Consider the following 21476-nt stretch of genomic DNA (forward strand, 5'->3'; position numbering starts at 1 on the left):
AACCACCATCATCACCACTATCAGCACCATCACCATCATCACCACCACCATCACCATCATTATCGTCACTATCACCATCACCATCATCATCATCACCATCACCATCATCATCACCATCATCACATCACCATCATTATCATCATCACTATCACCATCATCACCGCCATCGCCACCGTCACCATCATCACCAATACCATTACTGTCATCACCACCACCATCRCCATAACCATCATCATTACCATCACTACCACACCATCAACACCATCACCACCACCATCATCACCGTCATCATCACCAAGACCATCATCATCATCAAGACCATCATCATTATGAGCAATAACAGTGCTAACATGATCTCTGTCATTACCACCATCACTGACACCTCCATCCTCATTACTAGCATCTTCACCACCACCACCAACATCATCACCATTGTCTTCATCACCATCATCATCTTCACTTGAGGGCAAGATCCATGTCTTCCCCCTTTTTGCGTCCCCTCAGTGCCTGTCACAGACTCTGATTCCTCTGGGTACTCAGCAAATGTTTGCTAAGTAAATGAAAGAAAATAGCCTATTGAGCTCCAACTGTATACCAAGTTCTTAGTTTTAACAATAGCAACAGCATATATTGAGTTAGATGTTGGTCCCCACGCTCTCATCTCAATGGTCATAGGCAAGACTCAATCCTTCAAGGCAAGTATTCCAAGCCCACTTTACAGATGAGGAAATTAAGGAACAAGAGGGGTTAAGCTCAAAGTCCCACAACTCGTGAGTGACGGAGCTGTGATTAGCATGTGATGTGACTGGCTCCAAAGCCTTCCTTCCCCTGCCCCAGGATAGCTGATGAAGGTCATCCTTCGCCACCTTTTCCCAGGGCATGGGGCACCAGAACATTTGCCATGATAGCAGACACAGAGACAGCTTTGAGGGCTTTGGAAGGAAGTGCACGTCCCAGCGCCTGTGATGAACTGAAGCAGGAATTTAGAAATCAAAGCAAAGCGACCATGACCACAAAAAGGTGTTTGTGTGAGTGTTCTGTGTGCTGGAGCCAAGCCCAAGCATGCAGTGACCTCCATTATGCACCAGGCCCCGCATCCTTGGGCACCATCCTGAGCCTCACTGGCAGCTGCTCATCGGCTGGTCACTGGCTCCGGTCCCTGGGGTCCCGGGCTCATGGCCCCATCTGGAATTCCGAACAATTCCACGAAGAGACCAGCTTTCCAAGAGACATATTTATCAAAAAACAAAAACATCCCTCTCCAAAGCAGCCCCCACACTGCTGAACCAGTGAACCTGGGCCAGCATCAGCATCAGCGCCAGCTCTACGGCAAACACAGAGACCCGCATTCTTATCCTAATGCCCGCAGACGAAAGCACGCCCGATCTCAACTCCACTCCAGATGAGTGTCCTCCCTACACAGGATGAGAGAGGAAATCCAATATTATTTTAGGACTTGCCTTCGCATAATAGCAGCGAGGGCAGAGAACAATCCCGCGCTTATATCAAACATAAACAAGCCTGCTCCCTCAGCTGACACTGGGCCTCACTGCTGCCCAGGGGCAAGCTTGGCATCAGATGCTGTGTCCTTCTGGACAGTGACCGGGTCTCTGGGTTGGAGTCCGGAGCCAGTCACAGCCTCCACAGAACCCACGGGCAGATACTGAGGAGGGCGTAAGAGCTACACATGTGGGACAGGGTACAGGTGACCTGGGCCTGGACGCCATCCCTGAGCCGGCAGCAGAGAACTCAGCTCTGATGGAGGCCGAGCTCCTTGCAGGGGCTCTGCGAGGTGGGGGTTCTGCGAGGTGGGGGGCTCCATCCTTTCTCTTCAGGGCTTCCTGAAACCATCTAGCTTCTTGGTCTCTGAGAGCAGAGCTTGGTCATTGGCTGGGAGCAGCCTCTGGGGAGAGTGCAACCTTGGAGAGAAGGTGGTCTGGAGAGAGTGGCCTGGGAGAGCATAGCCCTGGGAGAGTTTGTGGTCTGGAGAAAGAGTCGCCTGGGAGAATGTGGCCTGAGAGGGTGTGGCTGGGAGGACATAGCCTGGAGAGAGAGTGGCCTGGGAGACCATGGCCCTGGGAGAGAGATTGGCCCAGAAGAACGTGGTCTGGGAGACTGTGGCCTGGGAAAGTGTGGCCTGGGAGAGTGTGGCCTCAGCAGTGCCACCAGCTCACTGAGCTCCTTGATCTCCTTCTCAAAGGCCTGGGCAGGCCAGGCACAGTGGCTCATGCCTGTAATCTCAGCAGGCAAATCACTTGAGGTCAGGAGTTCGAGACCAGCCTGGCCAACATGGTGAAACCCTATCTCTACTAAAAACACAAAAATTAGCCATGTGTGCTGGCGGTCACCTGTAATCCCAGCTACTTGGGAGGCTGAGGCAGGAAAATTGCTCGAACCCAGGAGGTGGAGGTTGCAGTGAGCTGAGATTGCACCACTGCACTACATTCTGGGCAACAGAGTGAGATTCTGTCTCAAAAAAAAAAAAAGCCCTGGGCGGCAGGTCTCCACAGCTTCCACTTTATGTACCAGGCCCTGCATCCTTGGGCGCCATCCTGAGATGGTGGCCCTGCAGGCTTTCCAGAAAGTTCTGAGCCATGGATTCCCCTCGCCATTCCCCCACCCCACGCTGGGGAATAAACCCCTCCCTCCCAGGTAGGCAGGACGCCCAGCACATGCATCACTGCCCTTGGGACGCCACATGCAAATAAATGCAAATGACATGCAAATCCACCTGTTGGGACTAAAGCCCCATTGCTTCTTCCCAGGGCTCCTTGGCATTGCCTGACTCACAGGATGGAGGCAGCCCAGTAGGCTGGGGTCTGTGTGGCCTTCTCTCCCCACTTCTCCATTGCAGGGGGCACCCAAGCCACATGAGGAGAATATGGGAATTGAAGTCGGACACAGCAGGGCATCATGTCAGCCCATTGCCCATTGCTATGTGACCCTGCGCAAGTCACTTCACCTCTCTGAGCCCAGCTCCCTCAACTTCAGGCAGGATGCTAATGTCATGAGTCAGGTTCACAAAGTAGCCCCTGGCTGTGACGACATTCTCATGATGACTCTGAGGGGCGACACTGTCCCCACTGCCCTGTTTCTCAGATGACAGAGCAGGCTCTTGCAGAGCTAGATGGAGAGGAGCAGGAATAACGAGGGGCCACGGTGAGGTGGGGCCCGCCCTGTGCTGTTCATGCCACAGAGGCCACCCCCGCGACCCCCAGCCCCAGCTTCCGGGGACAGTGACACAGTCTCAACAATCCGTCCCCACCGCGCCCTCAGAAACCACAGTGTCCGCTCCTTCCCTCCTGGGGACCCACCTCCCTGAGCACAGCTTTGACCACTTGGGCTGAGGCCACTGCTTTTAATTGCATTGTTTTCCTGTTTCAAAAATAATACCTGTTCTTTACACAAAGTTTGGACACTCCAGCAAAACCCAAACAGGGAAATTTCAAAGTTGCCCTTGATCCTGTGGCCGGGATGTCGACGCAGCCTTTCTGACCGCTGTCTGTCTTCCCACTGTTCCCAGGAGCATCAGCTTCTTTTTGTTGCCTTTTAACAAAATGAGTGCAGACGTCTCTTATAACCAGCTTTTTACACGCACCTATTCGGCACAATTTCCAGCATCAATAAGAACAAGCCTTTTCAGCATCTTCTGGTGAGAGCATATGTATTTAAACTATTTGCCTGTTGTGGGCATTTGTGCAGATTGTTGCCGACTCTGATACCATGAAGAGCGTGGGGCGGGCTCCACCTCATGGTGGGCCCCTCGTTATTCCTCAGGGGAAAGCCATGACACAGAGTTGCCAGAACAGACAAAGGTTCCAGAATTCAGTAGCATGTGCGTGCTCACTGTCCCCCCAGTCACTAGCCCTGGGATCCACGTGCCCTGAACCTTGGACGATCGGCTAAGGAATAATATCTTGTCGTGTCACCCACGTCTGGGTTCCTCTCGGGGTTAGACGTTCCGTGTGACTGGGCTGCTGCGTGCCTCACGTGTGTCACATGTTTGTGTCCAGGGCCCACTCCTGAGTCCTGAAGCGTGTGAGTCTCCTGGGGCTGCTGTCACAAATGACCGCAAACTGGGCAAGTGAACACAGCAGCAATCTATCCCCTCAGCTTGGAGACCAGAAGTCTGAGGCCGAGCTGTGGGAAGGGTGGGTGACCCTGTGGCTCCTGCCTTCAAGATTGGAGTCTCTCTCCATCCCTTGAAGTTGGCTTTGGCGATGGGGCAGTAGCAAGTGCGATGCAAGTAGAAAAAGCTTGGAAAGTTTTGCTCATGGGGGTTACGCTCTTGCTGAGCTTGGGAACCCTGCAATCCCTGCCATGTGAGTGAGCCAGGCTACCTGCTGGAGGATGGGAGGCACGCGGCCCAGTCATTCCTGTCGTCCAGCTCACAGCAAGTCAACCATTAGACCATCCAGCCCCAGCCAAGTGGCTGGCTGAATGCAGATATCAGCCAAGCTGGCCTAGGCCAGAAAATGGCCCACATGCTCCTCTGAATCATGAGAAATAATCTAGTTACTGTTTAAGCTGTTAACTTTGGGACTGGCTGTTACACAGCAAAGCCTCACTGATAGAGCATCCCACAGACATGGCAGCCTCCTCAGTCTGAGAAACCAGCCTGATCTCTTCTGAGACAGGAAGAGGAGTTAGTCAATACTAAGCACACACAATGCTCCGATAGATAAACAATTAGGAGAATCCAGGATGGGAGATGCTAATTTATCCTAAAACCCATGCACAGCCATATACATGAGCAATCAAGTTCTCACATTTACATAGGACGTGACAATTGACAAAGGGTGTGGCATATGTCCCCAGTTCAGTCCTCATAGTAACGGCCTGATAACAGGCCAGGCAGATCTGATCATCCCCATGTGACAGATGGGAAAACCAAAGCTCAGGGAAGTGAAGGGGTTTGCCCAAAGCTGCCAGTCATGCTTTGTAGAGGCAGAGCTCCACCCCGGTTCTAGATCTCAGCCAGAAAGTCATGCTATGGACAAAATGCATTCACACTCATGCTTACAGTAGGCTTGGTTTTGAGAATTTAGCATTCCTTGTTCCATCTCTTCCTCAGTGATGTAACCATTGAGCAAACCTAGCCAGCCACCAACATCACAGCTTGGTTGCTTGTTCTCAGTGACATCAACACATTTGCTATGCTTAATTTGGTGTTTTCAGTATACTATTCTGTGAGATCATCATCATCACCATCACTATCATCACCACCATTATCACCACCATCACCATCATCACCATCACCATCATCGTCACCATCACCATTATCACCATCACTACCATTACCATCACCATGATTACCACCATCACCATCACCACCATCATCACCATCACCACCATCATCACCATCACCACCATCATCACCATCACCATCACCATCATCACCATCATCACCATCACCATCATCACCATCACTACCATTACCATCACCATGATTACCACCATCATCACCATCACCACCATCATCACCATCACCACCATCATCACCATCACCACCATCATCACCATCACCGTCACCATCATCCCCATCATCGTCACCATCACCATCATCACCATCACTACCATTACCATCACCATGATTACCACCATCATCACCATCACCACTATCATCACCATCACCATCACCATCATCCCCATCATCGTCACCATCACCATCATCACCATCACTACCATTACCATCACCATGATTACCACCATCATCACCATCACCACCATCATCACCATCACCATCGTCACCATCGCCATCACCATCATCCCCATCATCATCACCATCACTACCATCACCATCATCACCATCACCATCATCACCATCATCATCACCATCACCATCATCACCATCACTACCATTACCATCACCATGATTACCACCATCACCACCATCACCATGATCACCATCACCATCATCACTATCACCACTATCATCACCATCTTTACCATCTTCACCATCATCACCATCACACCATCACCATCATCATTACCACCGTCATCATGATCTTTGTCATCTTCACCATCACCACCATCATCATTACCATCTTTACCATCTTCACCATCATCACCACCATCATCACCATCACCATTATCATTACCACCGTCATCATGATCTTATCATCTTCACCATCACCACCATCATCACCATCTTTACCATCTTCACCATCATCACCACCATCATCACCATCACCACCATCATTACCACCATCATCATGATCTTTACCATCTTTACCATCACCACCATCATCATCACCATCTTTACCATCTTCACCATCATCACCACCACTACCATCATTACCAACATCATCATGATCTTTACCATCTTCACCATCTTTACCATCATCACCATCATCACCACCATCATCATGATCTTCACCATCATTGTCTCCATCATTACCATCTTCACCATCATCGCCATCATCCTCTTCATCCCTTCCTAACGCTGACAGAATCCCCTGGCTTGGTACCAGGCACTCTTTTAAGTACTTGACATTGTTTTGTTGCATTATCATGACAATGTTTGAGGTGTCAACCTCTATTTTGTCACCTCTGTTTTTCAAAAAAGAAGACTGGGGCTCTAAGAGGAAACAAGACTTGCCCAAAGTCACCCAACTGGCAACTGACAGGGCTCCTCCTGCAGTGGCCACAGTCACCCTGTGCCAGGGATGTCCAGCTCCCTGGTATATGGCTTGCAGGAGTCTCATTGTGTGACAGGATGTGTTAGGTGGTTTGGTGGGGGAGTGGAATGAAGCCAGGATGCCTTGAGAGACAGCATCTCAGGATGGGGTGTTGAGCTGTCAACAGGATGAGACAGCTGGGCTGTCCCTGTGTGGAGGCGGATGGGGAGGCCACGCAGAACAGAAAGTCCCCTTGGGAGATCTGGTCCCACCCTGCCTGTGCCCCACCTGGCATCTCTCCCTCTCTGGGCCTCAGTTTCTTCATCTGTAAAGTGAAAAGCCTGGACCAGACCACCCTCAAGAGGCTTTCTGGTGCCAACATTCTCAGATGCTCCATAGACTTGCTCACATCACAGTCACATTGGGTTAAGCACAGAGGGCTACCTTCAGGGGAGGAATCTTGAGCAGGTTTTGGAAGAGAGAAGAAACGGCAGGGTGCGGTGGCTCACGCCTATAATCCCAGCACTTTAGGAGGCTGAGGTGGACAGATCACTTGAGGCCAGGAGTTTGAGACCAACCTGACCAACATGGCAAACCTCCATCGACACTAAATATACAAAAATTAGCTGAGCGTGGTGGTGCACGCCTGTAATCCCAGATACTTGGGAGGCTGAGGCAGGATAATCGCTTGAACCCAGGAGGAAGAGGCAGAGGCTGCAGTGAGTGGAGATTGCACCACTGCAGAGCCTGGGCAACAGAGTGAGACTTTGTCTAAAATTAAAAAAAAAAAAGAGGCTTTAAGTGTCAGAGATATGAGCCATTCCAAGCTGAGGAATGAACGTAGTGTGTGGTGAGGAATGAAAGAGCAGACTCAGCCCATCACAGATGCACATAGCCCTGCATGGGGTTAGGCACTGTCTGAGGTACAGGGTGGACAGAAATGAGTAAGGCCTGGCACTCTGTGGCCCAGCAAGGGAGAGCCAGTGCACAGCGAGACACAGGACACAGTATGACATATGTGTGCCAAAATACAAGGAGGCAGCATAGAGGAGGTGACTTCTGAATGGGTCTTGAAGGATGAATAGGAGTTTGCTAGCTGGCAAAGCTGGCAGCAAGGGAGAGGATTCCAGGAAGGAGAAACATCACATACAGAATGAGTGAGGTGCGGGAGACTAGGGAGCAGCAGCTCAGGGTGGCCTGAGTCGGAGTTGGGGAGGCAGAGAAGAAGGGGCACTGAGACCAGGAACATAGCTGGGGGCCCCGACAGGGAAAGGCTGTGAGTCTAGAACTGAGTGAATATTCATGCTATGGGCACTGGGGTGCCATGTGAGGCTTCTGAGCAGGGGCATGACATGACGAAGTCCATGTTTATTCCTGACCCCTTGGTGTTCAGGGACATTCTTGTGATGGGTAGGATGTTGTTTTCTTATTCACACTAACCCAGAGTTTCATTAACAAAGAGCTGCGTGTGCAGTGGGCTGAGCTCAGCACCATGTGCGGTGGGCTGAGCTCGGCGCCGTGTGCTGTGGGCTGAGATCGGCGCCGTATGCCAAGTGGGCTGAGATCGACGCTGCTGAGCTGTGAGCGGCTGTATCTGCGCTCTGAGGCGTGCTGGTTTTGCTAGCAGCTTGGGCGGTGATGCAGGCCCCAGCACAGCTCACAGTTCGCAGCAGATGTAAAGGTTTTACCTGCCCTGAGCAAACGCCTGGCAGCGTTCAGTGTGGTGGAATCTACGCACAAGGCTCCGGGAAAACACAGGCCCCAGCTGCATTTGCAGAAACCGCCCAGGCACCGAAGCGCTGGGACTGTGCACACAGCTGGGGCAGGGCCCTGGAAGGACAGGCCCGAAGGCTGCAGCAGGCGCAGGGCAGGGTGGTTGATGGTCTCTCAGGCTTTTTCTGGTTATGAAATAGAATTCATGACCAGCGTGGAAATTTGGGAACTTGTGAAGGAGAAAACAAGTCACCCAGAAAAGATTCCAAGAGCAGCCACAGAGTTCACCTCCATCCGGACTCAGGCTGGGCCGCCCTGAGGGCCTGACGCAGGCCACCATTCATCTCTCTCAGCACAAGGATGGGGAAACTGAGGCACAGAGGGGCCAAGGCCACTAGCCCAAGGCCACCAGTAAGAGGCAGAGCTGGGATTGAACCCGGACGTCTGCTACGCTGCCTCTCAGCAGGCATCTGGGCCACTTAGCAGCAAGTTGGGTGAGTTACCAGAACGAAATACATTAACACCTGTGACATCTTTGCACAGAGTCCCACCAGGGACACAGGCCCGGCTGGCTACTGGTACCATTGCCATGAATGGTTCCACAGCATGGCCCCTGGTACACCCAGACATCGCCCCTGCCGGTGCCTCTGCTCATCCTTCCCACGTTTCCTTCCAGCCGTTGAAGAATCTCTTTGTTCATTCATTTATTCAACAAAGAGGAGTGTTCCTGGGTGCCGGGCGCCATCGCAGGCATGAGGCGCACTGTCCTCTGGCACCCGGCCTGGTCACATCTGACCACAGTGGGAATGCTGAGCCACACGGCCAGCCTGTGCAAGTTCAAAGACTAAACGAAGGAAATCGTCTGACTGCCGAACTTCACCCCTTGGGAAATCAGAAGGAACGACTGGGCTCCAGCAGCAGGTGGCAAAAACGGAAGCATGATTTTTCTTTAATGTCACTAAAGGGAAGAAGAGCTGGCTGACGTGTGGGCCGGACTGGAGTGGATAAGCCATTTGGAGAGGAAAAGCTCCCAGGGAAACTTGCCACATTTTTTTCTAGAAGAATGTTGGAAGATTCAGTGGCCAGGTATGGAAAAGAAAACCCGCGTACACTGAGGGCATTCATGGCAGGTTCAGGGCGGGCGGCACGCAGGCCCAGGTGCTGGGAGAAGGACGCCGCTGTTCACGGCGCAGCCGGGCCACAAGGGCCAGTTGTCTGCACGCCTTCGCCAGTCGCCCCAGCAACACAAAAACACACATCAATGCGCCTTTTACTGTGGGCCTTTCTCGCAGGCTCTGGATAAATGACTGAGCTGAGCAAAATGTAAATGCGTAGTTGTCCCCTGGAGACATAATTACAGGAAAAAAAATGAGGACAGTGGCGATTCGGACTGCGGACGTCTGACTCCTTCACACAGCCGGGCCCGGTGTGAGGGGACGTCCGGGGTGAGAGGGGGAGGGAAGCTGCAGCAGGCACTGAAGGCCGCTGTCCCTCTCCTCGCCTGCCCCAGGCCTGCCCCAGGCACTGCCATTCCTTGGGCCCAGCCCGGGTGCCTCCTCCGGGGCCCTCGCTCTGCCGCCGCCCGTGAACGGGCCCATTCATGCGCCAGCCGCTGGCTGGGGTTCCCGCGGCCGGCCGGTCTCCACCGCCTCTGTTTTCTTTTCATTAGAAGGATTCCCATTTTGAAGGTCTGCGAGGGCTGAGTGAGGGATGCTCCGGCTGAGCGTGTCTGGAGAGAGCAGCTGCCCACGGCCCCAGCACATTCACTGGGTTACCGCGGCAGATGGGGAAACTGAGGCTCGCGGGGTGTCCCGGCCACACGGCTGGCAGACAGCAGAGCTGGGGCTTGGACCCAGGCCACCAGCTGCCTGCTGTGCCTGAGATTCCCAGAGAGGCTCCTAGGGCAGCCAGGAAGTGCAGGGCACAGGTGTGGTGTGTGCCCAGCCCAGACGCCAGGCCTCCTCCCAGCGTGCCCCGAGGCCCCCGAGGGCCCAGCCTCCTACTGGGTAAAGCAGGGAGGACGGCTCTGCCCGCTCATGCCGCCGGGAGGGCCAGAGGCACCAGAAGGCCAGGCCCCAGCGCAGGCTGGCTCTCAGCTGGGTCCCTTCAGCATCTCCCAGGAGGGACTTGCCAGAGCTGGAGGCAGAGATGGGACTCGACCCAGAGCCCACAGTTAGCCACCACTCCTGTGTCTTCTGCACACCAGGCAGGCCACAGGAGTCTTCCCAATGGGGCAGGGGCACAGACCGTGTGTCCAAAAGCAGCCCTGCTCAGAAGGCAGGAGCCGGGGTGGTGCAGGGCAGGGGGACTTCCCAGGGGAGGGGCGTTGCTGCTCAGAGCCTCACAGAGGGTGGGCAAGGTGGATCCTGCATGCCCAGACCCTCTGCCGACCCATGGGCCCGGTGGCTTCCGGCTACTCTCCCGCTGGGCCCGCCACCCATGGCAGCACGTGAATGTGTGAGCCGGTGTGTATGGCCTGCAGTGGGGGTGTGTGCCTGTGCCCCTGTGCAGGACGCCCTCGAGGCCACCCCTGTCCACCCCAGCTTTTTGCTCTCGACTGGGGCCATTCAGATGATGGGGCAGAAACGCTTGGGCCGTAGGCATCTGAGTCACGCGCCACCATCCGTCTGGAATGTCTCCTTGGACCGGGCTCAGCCGGGCTCCAGGCCCTGACACTCCCTCCCTCAAGCTTCCCTCTGTCCTTCCTCCCTTCCTCACTCCCCATCCTCCCTCCTCTATCTCCCTCCTCCAGCCCTCCCTCCTCTCTCCCACTCACTTTCCAAAGCCTTCCCCCTGTCCCAGCTGGCATCCTGTACCCACACAGGTCCTCAGGGCGCGGACCACGCCACCCCTCAAGCGCTGGCCTGCAGGTGCTGTGCTCTGTAGATGAAGATGTATTCATCCCCACTTTCGTATTCTAGAGCTTGTTGTTGTTGTTGTTGTTTGATGCCAGGAAAAAAAAATGGTTTTTGAGCCGAGCCCTGGCCAGGTGCCTAGGGCAGCACAGGGGTCACCACAGCGTGAGAGGAAGCCTGACCCAGGGACGGACACCTGCATCCTCAAGGACCCCAAGTCCAAAGAGCCACCCACTCCTCCTACCTTGCACATACCTGTTATGTCCAACTGTCCTAGACGCCCCAAGATCCCCCCAGTTCACCGCCAGGGAGTGGTGAGGCCGCAGCACCGTAGCCTCTAGGGGCCAGCTCTGCCCTCCTGACAGGTGGGCGCCATGATGTCATCTCCCAGATGAGCAAGTGGAAACTCAGAGAGGCCGCTGACTCACCCAGGCACACACGGCGGGCAGGGAGCAGGGGGCACCGGGGCCGGGCCTGTTTGTGCCCTTTTCTCTGCAGCATCCAGACCCAAATTGAGGGTCTACTCAGCAAAGTCCACGGGTACTGATTGTGTTCCAGAAATCCCAGGCTGGTAAAATAACTAGCGCCATATCAGCCAGGTCGCACGTTCTTGGAGAGGCCCCGTGATCGCTGTCCTCTGTGCTTGCACGCATCGTAACGGGGAGAGGACACACAAGCCCCTGCTCACCTCCTGCTGCACCCAGGAGCCGTCCTCAGGGAGGTGGGAGCTCATCAGAGGCCGTCCAGATGGGCTTCCTGCCCCATAGGGAGCGCCGAGTCTGCACCTCTGCCCGGCTGCTCACAGACCCCTGTATGTTGTGCAGACCCCAATGCTCGGGGCCCCCAAAGCTGCTCTCCCTTCCACTCCCACCCTGAACTAGGGAGAGGGTGGCAGCAGTCAGCACCTGGGACAGGCTCGACCACTAACTGCCACATCTTTGGGATGGGCTCTTTGCATCCTCCAGCCTCAGCTTCCCCTATCTAGCAAATGGGATTAAAGAGCCCATGAGATCACAGGTGAAGCTTGCTTTGAAAACTCCCAGAGTGTTTAAACGTCCCACATGCCACATCTCGGCCACAGGTCTGGTCCTCGCTCGGAGGTCTCCTCTCTCGAGAGCCCATCTGGGGCAGGCGTGGGCCCACACGTGGCAGGGGTGCGGCCTTGCTCTCAAGGTGCATGGTTGTCAGGATGGACGGGTGTCCACACACCCAGGCCATCAGCGCTGACCTCGAGTGCCAATGGCAATTGCCCTTGGAATCTGTCGGAGGCTTCTCGTGCCTCCCCCTGCATGGCGCTGGTTACTCGGTTTCATTTTTACATCAGGCAAAAGTCCAGGGGGTGACTCGTGTGAGCTGGCCCTCCTGACCGTCTACTGGGACCCAGGAAACCTCGCCCCCCGAGGTTGATCAGTAGCAGGCCTGGAGCTCTGGGCAGCATGTGGGCTTGGCCAGGGCATGAGACCTGGCTCAGTGGCTGTGGGTAAGTCTAGTCAGCAGCCTGCTGGGCCAGTTTCCTCCTGGAAAGCAGGGGCTAGGACCACCCGGGAGCCTTCCAGCTCTGCTGAGCTCACAGACACAGGGGACCTTCCCAGCCCCTGCTCCCTGCAGAGCACCCCATCAGGCAACTCCTTCCAGGAGGGGTGGACGTGGCCCTCCTTTTCAGCTCTCTGATGGCTTTGAGGGCTATGAAGAGGGGGAAGAGGCGCTGCCAGGGCCAGGCCAGGGGAGGGACGGGAATCAGGAGGCCAAGCCTGGAGCAAAGCTGCCCCCAGGAGGGTGCTGATACCAGGATTCTCACCTCCCGCCATTGACACCTGGGGCAGGATGATTCCTGTGCACTGGGGAGGCGTGGCAGCAGCCCCTGCCCCCCAGCTAGATGCCAGAGGTAGCTCCCAGTTGTAACAGTCCAAAGTGACTCCTGATGCTGCCACTGGGTTAGTCAAAGCAGGTGGGTGTGGAACATGGGGACAAGGCAAGGGGTGGACGGTGGCTCTGGGACAGGGGAGGTGTGCCGCGGGCCTTGGCCAGGTTGCTAGTCCTCCCTGTGAAAGGGAAGAGGCAGTCCCACCTCGCGGGGTTGTCAGAGTCCTTCACACAGTGACTGGCCCGGAGTGGGTACAGGGTCATCCCCTGTTGTCACCATGCTTGTGAGCATGGACTCTGAGTGAGGGCTTCTGTCATTTCTCACGCCCAGGCGGCATTCAGGTGCCCCAGGGCTAGGAAAAGAACTTGTGTGCATGCATACACATGCAGTCACACACACACATACTCACACACAGACACGCACTCACACACACAAATGCACTCACAGACATGCACTCATACACAAACACACACACAGACACACACTCACACACAAATGCACTCACAGACATGCACTCACACACAAATGCACTCACACACAGACATGCACTCACACACAAATGCACTCACAGACATGCACTCACACACAAATGCACTCACACACGTGCACTCACACACCCAGACATGCACACACACACACGCACTAAAACACAGACATGCACTCACACATGCACTCACACATGCGCTCACACACATGCGCTCACACACAGACATGCACTCACACGCACTCACAGACACGCCCTCACACAGACATGCACTCACACAGATGCATTCACACATACACAGTCACACACAGACATGCACACACACATGCACTCACACATACGTGCACACACACATGCACTCACACAGACATGCACACACACGCACTAACACACACGCACTAACACAGACATGCACTCACACACAGACGCCCTCACACAGACATGCACTCACACACATGCACTCACACACGCACACACCCAGACATGCGCTCACACACATGCACTCATACACACACAGACACGCCCTCACACAAGACATGCATTCACACACATGCACTCACACTCAGACATGCACTCATACACACACAGACATGCACTCACACACAGACATGCACTCACAGACGTCCTCACACACATGCACTCACACACATGCACTCACACATGCACACACACCCAGACACACACACACACGCACTCACACAGACATGCACTCACATGCACTCACACACAGTCATGCCCTCACCCAGACATGCACTCACACACACTCACAGACATGCACTCACACAGACACGCACTCACACACAGACACGCCCTCACACACAGACATGCACTCACACATATGCACTCACACAGACATGCACTCACACACATGCGCTCACAGACATGCACTCACACACATGCACTCACACAGACACGCTCTCACACACAGGCATGCACTCACACACGCACTCACACACCCGGACATGCACTCGCACACACGCACACACAGACATGCACTCACACACACACTCACACACAGACACGCCCTCACACACAGACATGCACTCACACACATGCATTCACAGACACACACACAGACATGCACTCACACACGCACTCACAGACATGCACTCACACGCACTCACACAGACATGCACTCACACACACGCACTCACACACATGCACTCATGCACTCACACACAGAGACATGCACTCGCACACAGACACACACTTATACACACATGCACTCACACACAGAGACATGCATTCACACACACGCACTCACACACAGACATGCACTCTCTCACACACACACACGGGTTTGGAAATTGAAGTCTTTCTTAGAAACAAGAACAGACCCAGTAGAAACGAGAAGGAAGGAAACGCCCTCTGGGGTCTTTGTCCACAGCCAGGGGACCCCTGGCCCTTGAAACTTTAGGAAACCCGCTTGATTGAAATCCTGATTAACTCGAGAGGGTTTCTTAGTTCTTCCCCATTTTCCATGGAAAGGGAGATCCCAGGACCTGGAGGCCCCAGATGATGCCATGGAAATGTGAGCCAAGCCTCGAGCCTCTGGGGCCTTTCAGCCCCTGCCCCTTTTTCAATTCACGTTTTCGCGTCCACTGGCAGGAATGCCATGTGCTGCGATGCCAGCACAGAAACCCCACTGCCATGTGCAGTTCCTTTTAGTTTATTCTATACCGTTCGCAGAGTCCCAAAACAGCTTCAGGAGGCAGACCAGATTGGGGGAGGGGCAGGCCCACTCATTGGCTCCACCAGAAGGCCCGTGGTTAGGCCACACCTTGCTTTACATAATAAAGGTGTCCTTAAAAGGGTGTGCAACTTGAACTTGCGTAAGTAAAGCGTGCTTGACCTGCTCCCGGGGGACCTTTGTCTGAAGGACTAATTCTGAAAGCATTCCTTTCTGCGAAGTCCCCCCACTGCCACCCTATTTCTTAGAAGTCCACCAAGTTCATGACTTGGGATCCTCTGAAGTGGGGGAGGGCGATCCGTCCCCAGATGCTGCCCGTAACGCTGCACCCCTGCCCTTGGAGGAGGCCCACACGCCCCTGTCTGGGACAGCCGGGGACGGGCACGTACTGGGCCAGGGGGCTCTGCCTGGAGCCATCTCCGCCGTGTGGCCTTGGGCAGGTTCCTTGTCTTCTTCAGGCCTTGGTTTCCTTGGCTGTGAATGGAGATGTTGGACAAATGACCGGTAAGGGCCTCTCCCTCTCTAGGGGCCTGGATGGCTCCTAGCGCCCCACCAGCAATGCTGCCGAACTCACGGGCCAGTCTGGGGCAGTCCCAGGGCTGGACAAGGGACCCAGAGTGGAGACACGAAGGTCTGGGGGCAATGTTAGCTCCCACCTATGAGAAAGCGTGCCATGGGGACCTCCTTATGGTGCCTTCGAGGGCCAACTTGAGCCACTCAAACCGAACTTGCCCAGGCAGGTGCCAGGTGCCAGTCGGGACATCCCCCACCTCCTAGACAGAAGCACAGGGACAAGCGTGTCATGTGTGGGCACCTGGGGAGCTGGAGCGCAGGCCAGGGATGGAGATAGAGCAGCCACTGGAAGCCACATGGGTAGCATTATGGCAGACGTTTTTTAAGTTGTGCTGAATGCAGCGTTTCCGTCTCAGCAGCAAGGCCTGCCATTCTGGGGTGGGCTGGCTGGGGAGTGTGAAGAGGGGGTTCAGGGAGCAATGCCTCAGGGCCCCCCATCGCCGGGGTGGGTCCCATGAAACAAACACCTAGGAAAAGCGGCGCTAAAAATAGCTGGGGGGAGGGTGCGGGGGCGGCGGAGTCTGTAACCTAAGCCGCCCCAGCCTCCGGGGGGCAGACCCCGCGGCCGCCGGCCGGCGTCCGGCCTTCCCAGCACCCGGCCCAGGGCTGGAGCTGGCTGCAGGGCTGGCCCGCGGCGACCTGGGCAGGGTGGCGGCTGCTCCCTCTCCTCCCACCCCGCCCCGAGGCGCAGCGCGCGGCAGAGCGGCTCGGTGCCCGGCGGGCGGGCGGCCCGGGCGGGCCTGCGGTCGGGATGAGGACGGCGCCTCCGCTGCAGAGCGCTGGGGCGGCGCGGGCCGGGAGCTCGTTGGCGGCGGCCGGCGTGGCGGGCGGAGCGGGCCTCGGAGCGGAGGTGAGTGCGGATGCGCCGCCTGGGCGCGCGCGGTGCCTGGGGACCCCGGGCTGGAACGCGGGGCGGGGGTGTCACCGGGCTGCGCGGGGGTCTCCGGCCCGGCTCCCGCTCCTGCGCCCTCGGGGGCCGCTCCCCGGCGGGGCCGGACCCTCCCAGCGCTCGCGGCGCCCGGCCCGGCTCCCCCGACCTCCTCCTCCCGGGCCCGGACGTGCGGGGCAGCGAGCGCCGGGGCCCGGCGGGGGCCGCAGCCTTGCCCGGAGCGGAGCGTTGGCAGCGCGGGGTCCGGCTCCGTGGGCAGTTTGGGAAGCGCCCGGGCAACGTACTGGCGAGGGCCGCGGAGCGAGGGGCTCGGGGAGCGGGACCTCCGGGCGGGGCTGCGGGGAGCGGGGCCCGGGCCGCCCCATTCATCGCGGATCGGAGCCGGGGGTGCCCCAGCCGTGCCGCCGCCTCCTCCGGGCCGCCCGCCCGGGCGTGCTGGCCCCGCGGCGCTCCGAGCGCGGCATAGGCTTGCGAGTCGGCGGTGTCAGCGCCCCGGACGGGGGTGGGAGCTTTGGAGCCCACCCTGGGGGAGACCACGCCGCACCCCCGCCCAGCCCCGCGCACCCCCAGAGGCTTTTGCAGAGCCGGGAAGTTGGCTGGACGTCTAGACCCGTGGGGACGCGGCGCCCCGCGTGGCGGCGGCCGGAAGGGAAGGCCAATGGGGCTCGGGGGACTCCCGCGGCCACCCAGTCCTTGTCCCTGCACCCTGGGCCGAGGGCAGAGGGACAGGTCCCCGGCGGGGGCGGGGGGGCAGCTCAGCTGCCAAGTCCGCTCCTGCAGCGGAGGCGGTTAACTGCTTCATCCCCAGCCGTGAGCCATGCTGGGCATAGGGAGTGTGCCACGTGTTATCACGTTTAATCCTTACGTCCTGAGATCCGTGTTAACCCAAGTCTTAGATGCAGAAACTGATGGTCAGAGTGGGCTGATGCTGGGAAGTGAGCACAGCACGCGGTAGTGTCGTGGACAGCCCCTGCCCATTCTGCCAAGAGCAAGTCTAGTTCCCTTCTGCCGGTCGGGTGGACAAAGGTGTCTTGAGGCCCTCTCAGTGCCCAGCCTGTCCTAGGTGCCCCCAGCACAGCCCACAGCCCTGCATTCCTGAAAATAAACAAAATAAACAGGTAAATGCCTGGACAGCGTCGGGCGTGAGGGCTGAGCAGGGAGCTCGGAAGCTGGGGCGGAGCTGCAGTTTTAGGAAGGGCAGCCAGGCACCCTCGGAGGAGGTGGCCTGGGAGACGTGTCTTCCATGCCATGCGCCTGGCAGGTCCCAGACCACAGGACAGAGCTCACCGGGAGGTGATCATTCTGCCCTGCAAATAGAAAAGAGGAAGAGGATATCTGAGGCAAAAAGGAAGGCCAGGGCCTTCTCAAAGGGAACCCAGGGGCCCCGCAGAGTCTCAGCTTGGGAGGCACAGGTGAAGGGTGTGTGGCTGTAATGCCCCGAGGCTGGCAGCTCTGGGCAGTGTGCAAACCAGGAAGTCCCAGGATTTCAGGGTCAAGGGAAATTTTGGGGTCATGAACTTCAACCCCCTCATCAGCGCTTCAGTCTCCACCAGACCCTGCCTCCAGGTTACTGACTCTGCTTGGATACCTCCAGTGACCGGGAACTCACTCCCCATCACAGCAGCCTGTTCCAGCCATTCCTGCAGTCCTACCAGCTGGAATGCACTGGTCCATCATCCTGAGGCAGCAGGCAGCACATCTGCTCAGCTGTTACACATGGCTGCCTTTGGATAATTTTAATAGGGATGGTCTCCCCCTGTATGCCTAATCTCTTCAGGTCATTTCTGACTTGACATTCCTGGTCAGGCCCCATCCTGCCACCTTCCCCTGGGAGAAATTCAGTGGGTTTCTGCCCTTTCCTCGTGTTTGCTGAACGGAAGTAAACCTGAACACCAGGGTGGCCTGGAAGCAGAGATGCCCTCCCCTCCTTTCTCCTGGAGTCTTGTCACCACCGATAGTGCCCTAGATATCAGGCCATGGTGGACTCATCTGGAGCCCAGATGGTTTCAAGACAAGCCCCCTACCCTCCCTTCCGGTTCTGACTCCTACTAATAATTCAGTTACCAGCCGGGGATGGTGGCTGTGTAATCCCTGCAATTTGGGAGGCTGAGACAGGTGGATCACTTGAGCCCAGGAGTTTGAGGCCAGCCTGGGCAACATAGTGAGACCCCATCTCTACTAAAAAAAAAATTGAAGTAAGTTAGCCAGGCATGGTAGTGTGCACCTGTACTCTCAGCTACTAGGGAGGCTGAGGAGAAAGGATTGCTTAAACCCAGGAGTTCAAGGCTGCAGTTAATGATGATCGTGCCACCGCATTCCAGCCTGCGTGATAGAGTGAGACTCTGTCTCAAAAAAAAAAAAAAAAAATTCTGTTACCCTGCCTGCCTCCTTGTCCAAACATAGGGCTGATGATGTGGGGAATGCCTGTGTAGTAGTTAAGAGTCCAGGCTCTGGGAACAGCTGCTAGGGGCTGTGTGGCCTTGGGTGAGTGACCAAACCCCTCTGGGACTTTATTTCTCATCAGAAAAATGGGGAGCCCTCACAGGGGTCAGTGGGACGGGCTGGTGTGTGGAGCACCCTGGCACAGGCCTGGCACACTGCAAGTACTTGGTAGGTACCAGCTGCTGTGGTTGCAGCCCATGGGTTTCAGGAGACTCCGTGGGACCTGTGGAGAGGGTTCTGAGGACAAGAAAGACCTGAGTGGTGCAAGGTGCCAGCTAAAAGCCCAGATGGAGGCCGCCATAGGGAGCAGGGATGCCGGTGAGGCACAAGCGGCCCGGTCCCGTGGACTCTGCCTTCCCCATCTTCTTCCCAGCGCCCTCCCCATCTTCCCAGCGCCTTCCCCATTTTCCCTCCTGGCCAGCCAGCCCACCCTTGCTTTGGTTCATTCTAGACCTGCAGGGTGGGGAGGAGACCTGGGAGAGTGTGACCAGCCCGTCCTCCTGCTCACTGTGGGCGGTGGCCATGCTCGGGTCCTGCATTCCAGGCCACAGTCCAGCCCTGTTCTGACTCCCTGATAAGGGTCCTCATGGGTTCATCTCAGGATGTGTGTTCTCTCTTCCCGCCTCCTGCCCGGGACCCCACCGTCCCGCCCCATCTCCACCGGCGACTGCCTGCCCTTCTCCCCTAGACATCACCCCCACCCTCGTGGGAACACCCCTCCTCTCCCTGCTGCCCTCACGCATCCTGCATCCCACCTCCCATCACTGGTGTCCCATCTACCCTGCAAGGCCATCCCCCTTGACGAAGGGGCCCTATTCAGGCCGGATCCCTTCTCCCCGGGCTCAGCAGGCGCTGGCCGGTGACTCGGAGGGTCCCGTCACATCCAGGGCCCTCTAGTGATTCCTTTCCAGACACAGCTCCATCCACCTACCTCGAGAGACCAGCCGCTTCCAGGTCAAGCCTGTCTCCAAGTGGCTTTAAGGTCCCAGGCCTCTCAACTGAACCCCATGAGCCAGCCTCGTTCTCTGATGGAGCTGACCTGCTACATGCTGGGGGCTGGACAGAGCGTGGTGGAAGGCAGTGGGTGGTTCCGTGAGGATGGGGCTCTGTGAAGTAGCCTTGAGGTGGCTCAGGGCCTGTTTCTTTGGCCACTCCCTCCCCGTGCTCATCATTTGCCAGTGGTCATGGTGGGGGTGGCAGATGCTGTCCTCAGGGACTGGCTGCAATCGTATACTTCAGAGCTAAGGACTTCCATTTCCCTGGGTAGAAGGAAAGATGGGCCAGTACAGTTGGGCAGGTTGTTCACTGCACGTCGGCACCCAGTCTATACTCTGCTTGTCGGGCCTCCCCAACCTCCAAGACTGTGTCCACCCAGGGGAGCGCCTTGTGCTAGACACCCAGAGACCCGCGGCAGCCCTGGGTCAGGTGCGGACGCCGTCCGCACCCCTGAGGACCTTCCATTGCAACCCCATCCTGCGTGCCTGCGGAAGCTGCCCTCAGTGGCCGGAGGGTTGCGGCCTTGGCCCTCCTCAGGTGCTATCGGCCGTCCAGCCCCCTCATTCCTGTGAGTCCACGTCACTCCCGGTTCTCCCCCCTTGGTCTGGGTTCACCAGGCTGGCTTCAGGGCGGGGTGGGAGCGGCGGGCAGGACCCACCCCCGGGTGCCGGGGGACTCGGGCCGCGGTCAGCACAGCCTCCAGATGTTCTTCAAAGCATGCCCCACCCCCTTGGCTGCTTGCGGTTGCTGGTCCCGAGTCCGGAGGACCAGAAAGTGAGACCAGCGACAACGCTGGGGGCGGCTTGGGGGCTGTGACCCGGCGTCAAACGGTAGACTTCCTGCTCAGTACTCACCCCAGCCCTGCCAGGAGTGAAGTGGTCTCTGAGAATCACACTGTTGCTGAAAGGGAGCTGGCCTTGGGGAGGAGAATTCCAAATATAAGCTGTTTTTGACCCAGCGAGGAGAGCCCGCAGGCCAGGCTGAGAAGGCTCAGCGTGTGTGGGGAACGCTGGGTGCTCACCTGGCCCACCCTAGTATGGTGGACCTGGGGCTCCTGCCACCCCGTCCCCCTAACACCCAGCTCTTGAAGCAAGAGGAGCTCTGCCCCCCGCCGTGGAGGAACCAGGAGCAAAGGGCCCATCTCCCCAGCCCTTGCTCCTCCAATCAGGGTGGGTGGCCCCTCAAGTGGAAAGAACACAGGCTTGGGGTCCTCAGAGCTCTGGGGCCAAGCTTCACCCAGCCCTCCCAGCCACACCGCCAGGACAGGGCAGCCACGGCTCCCAGCCTCGGTTTGCGTTACCAAGTGGGGTGCACAGCACCTGGAGTCTCTTTACAACCCCAGAGTGGCTG

General features: G+C 56.9%; 1 protein-coding gene across 2 annotated transcripts in view, besides 2 other annotated features; it reads left to right on the forward strand.

The window, feature by feature from the left end:
• The window catches only part of ZNF469 (zinc finger protein 469), a 339823-nt gene that overhangs the window by 265675 nt on the left and 52672 nt on the right, over positions 1-21476 (forward strand). Inside the window, exon 1 of one of the 2 annotated variants that reach the window (NM_001367624.2) lies at positions 16354-16649. The exons of the other annotated variant lie outside the window; for it this stretch is intronic. The gene's annotated coding sequence lies outside the window, so the exon portion shown is untranslated. Of the gene's footprint in view, positions 1-16353; positions 16650-21476 lie in introns of those variants that run through there. 2 annotated transcript variants of the gene reach the window in all.
• Positions 14081-14625: an enhancer, noted in NCBI's record as "H3K4me1 hESC enhancer chr16:88447094-88447638 (GRCh37/hg19 assembly coordinates)". NCBI's record gives its function as "activates a minimal SCP1, AML or CMV promoter by ChIP-STARR-seq in naive H9 embryonic stem cells {active_cell/tissue: H9 hESC(naive)}" and the evidence as "EXISTENCE:reporter gene assay evidence [ECO:0000049][PMID:30033119]".
• Positions 15170-15713: an enhancer, noted in NCBI's record as "NANOG-H3K27ac-H3K4me1 hESC enhancer chr16:88448183-88448726 (GRCh37/hg19 assembly coordinates)". NCBI's record gives its function as "activates a minimal SCP1, AML or CMV promoter by ChIP-STARR-seq in primed H9 embryonic stem cells {active_cell/tissue: H9 hESC(primed)}" and the evidence as "EXISTENCE:reporter gene assay evidence [ECO:0000049][PMID:30033119]".

This window comes from Homo sapiens, chromosome 16, assembly GCF_000001405.40.
Source record: "Homo sapiens chromosome 16, GRCh38.p14 Primary Assembly".
NCBI lineage: Eukaryota > Metazoa > Chordata > Mammalia > Primates > Hominidae > Homo > Homo sapiens.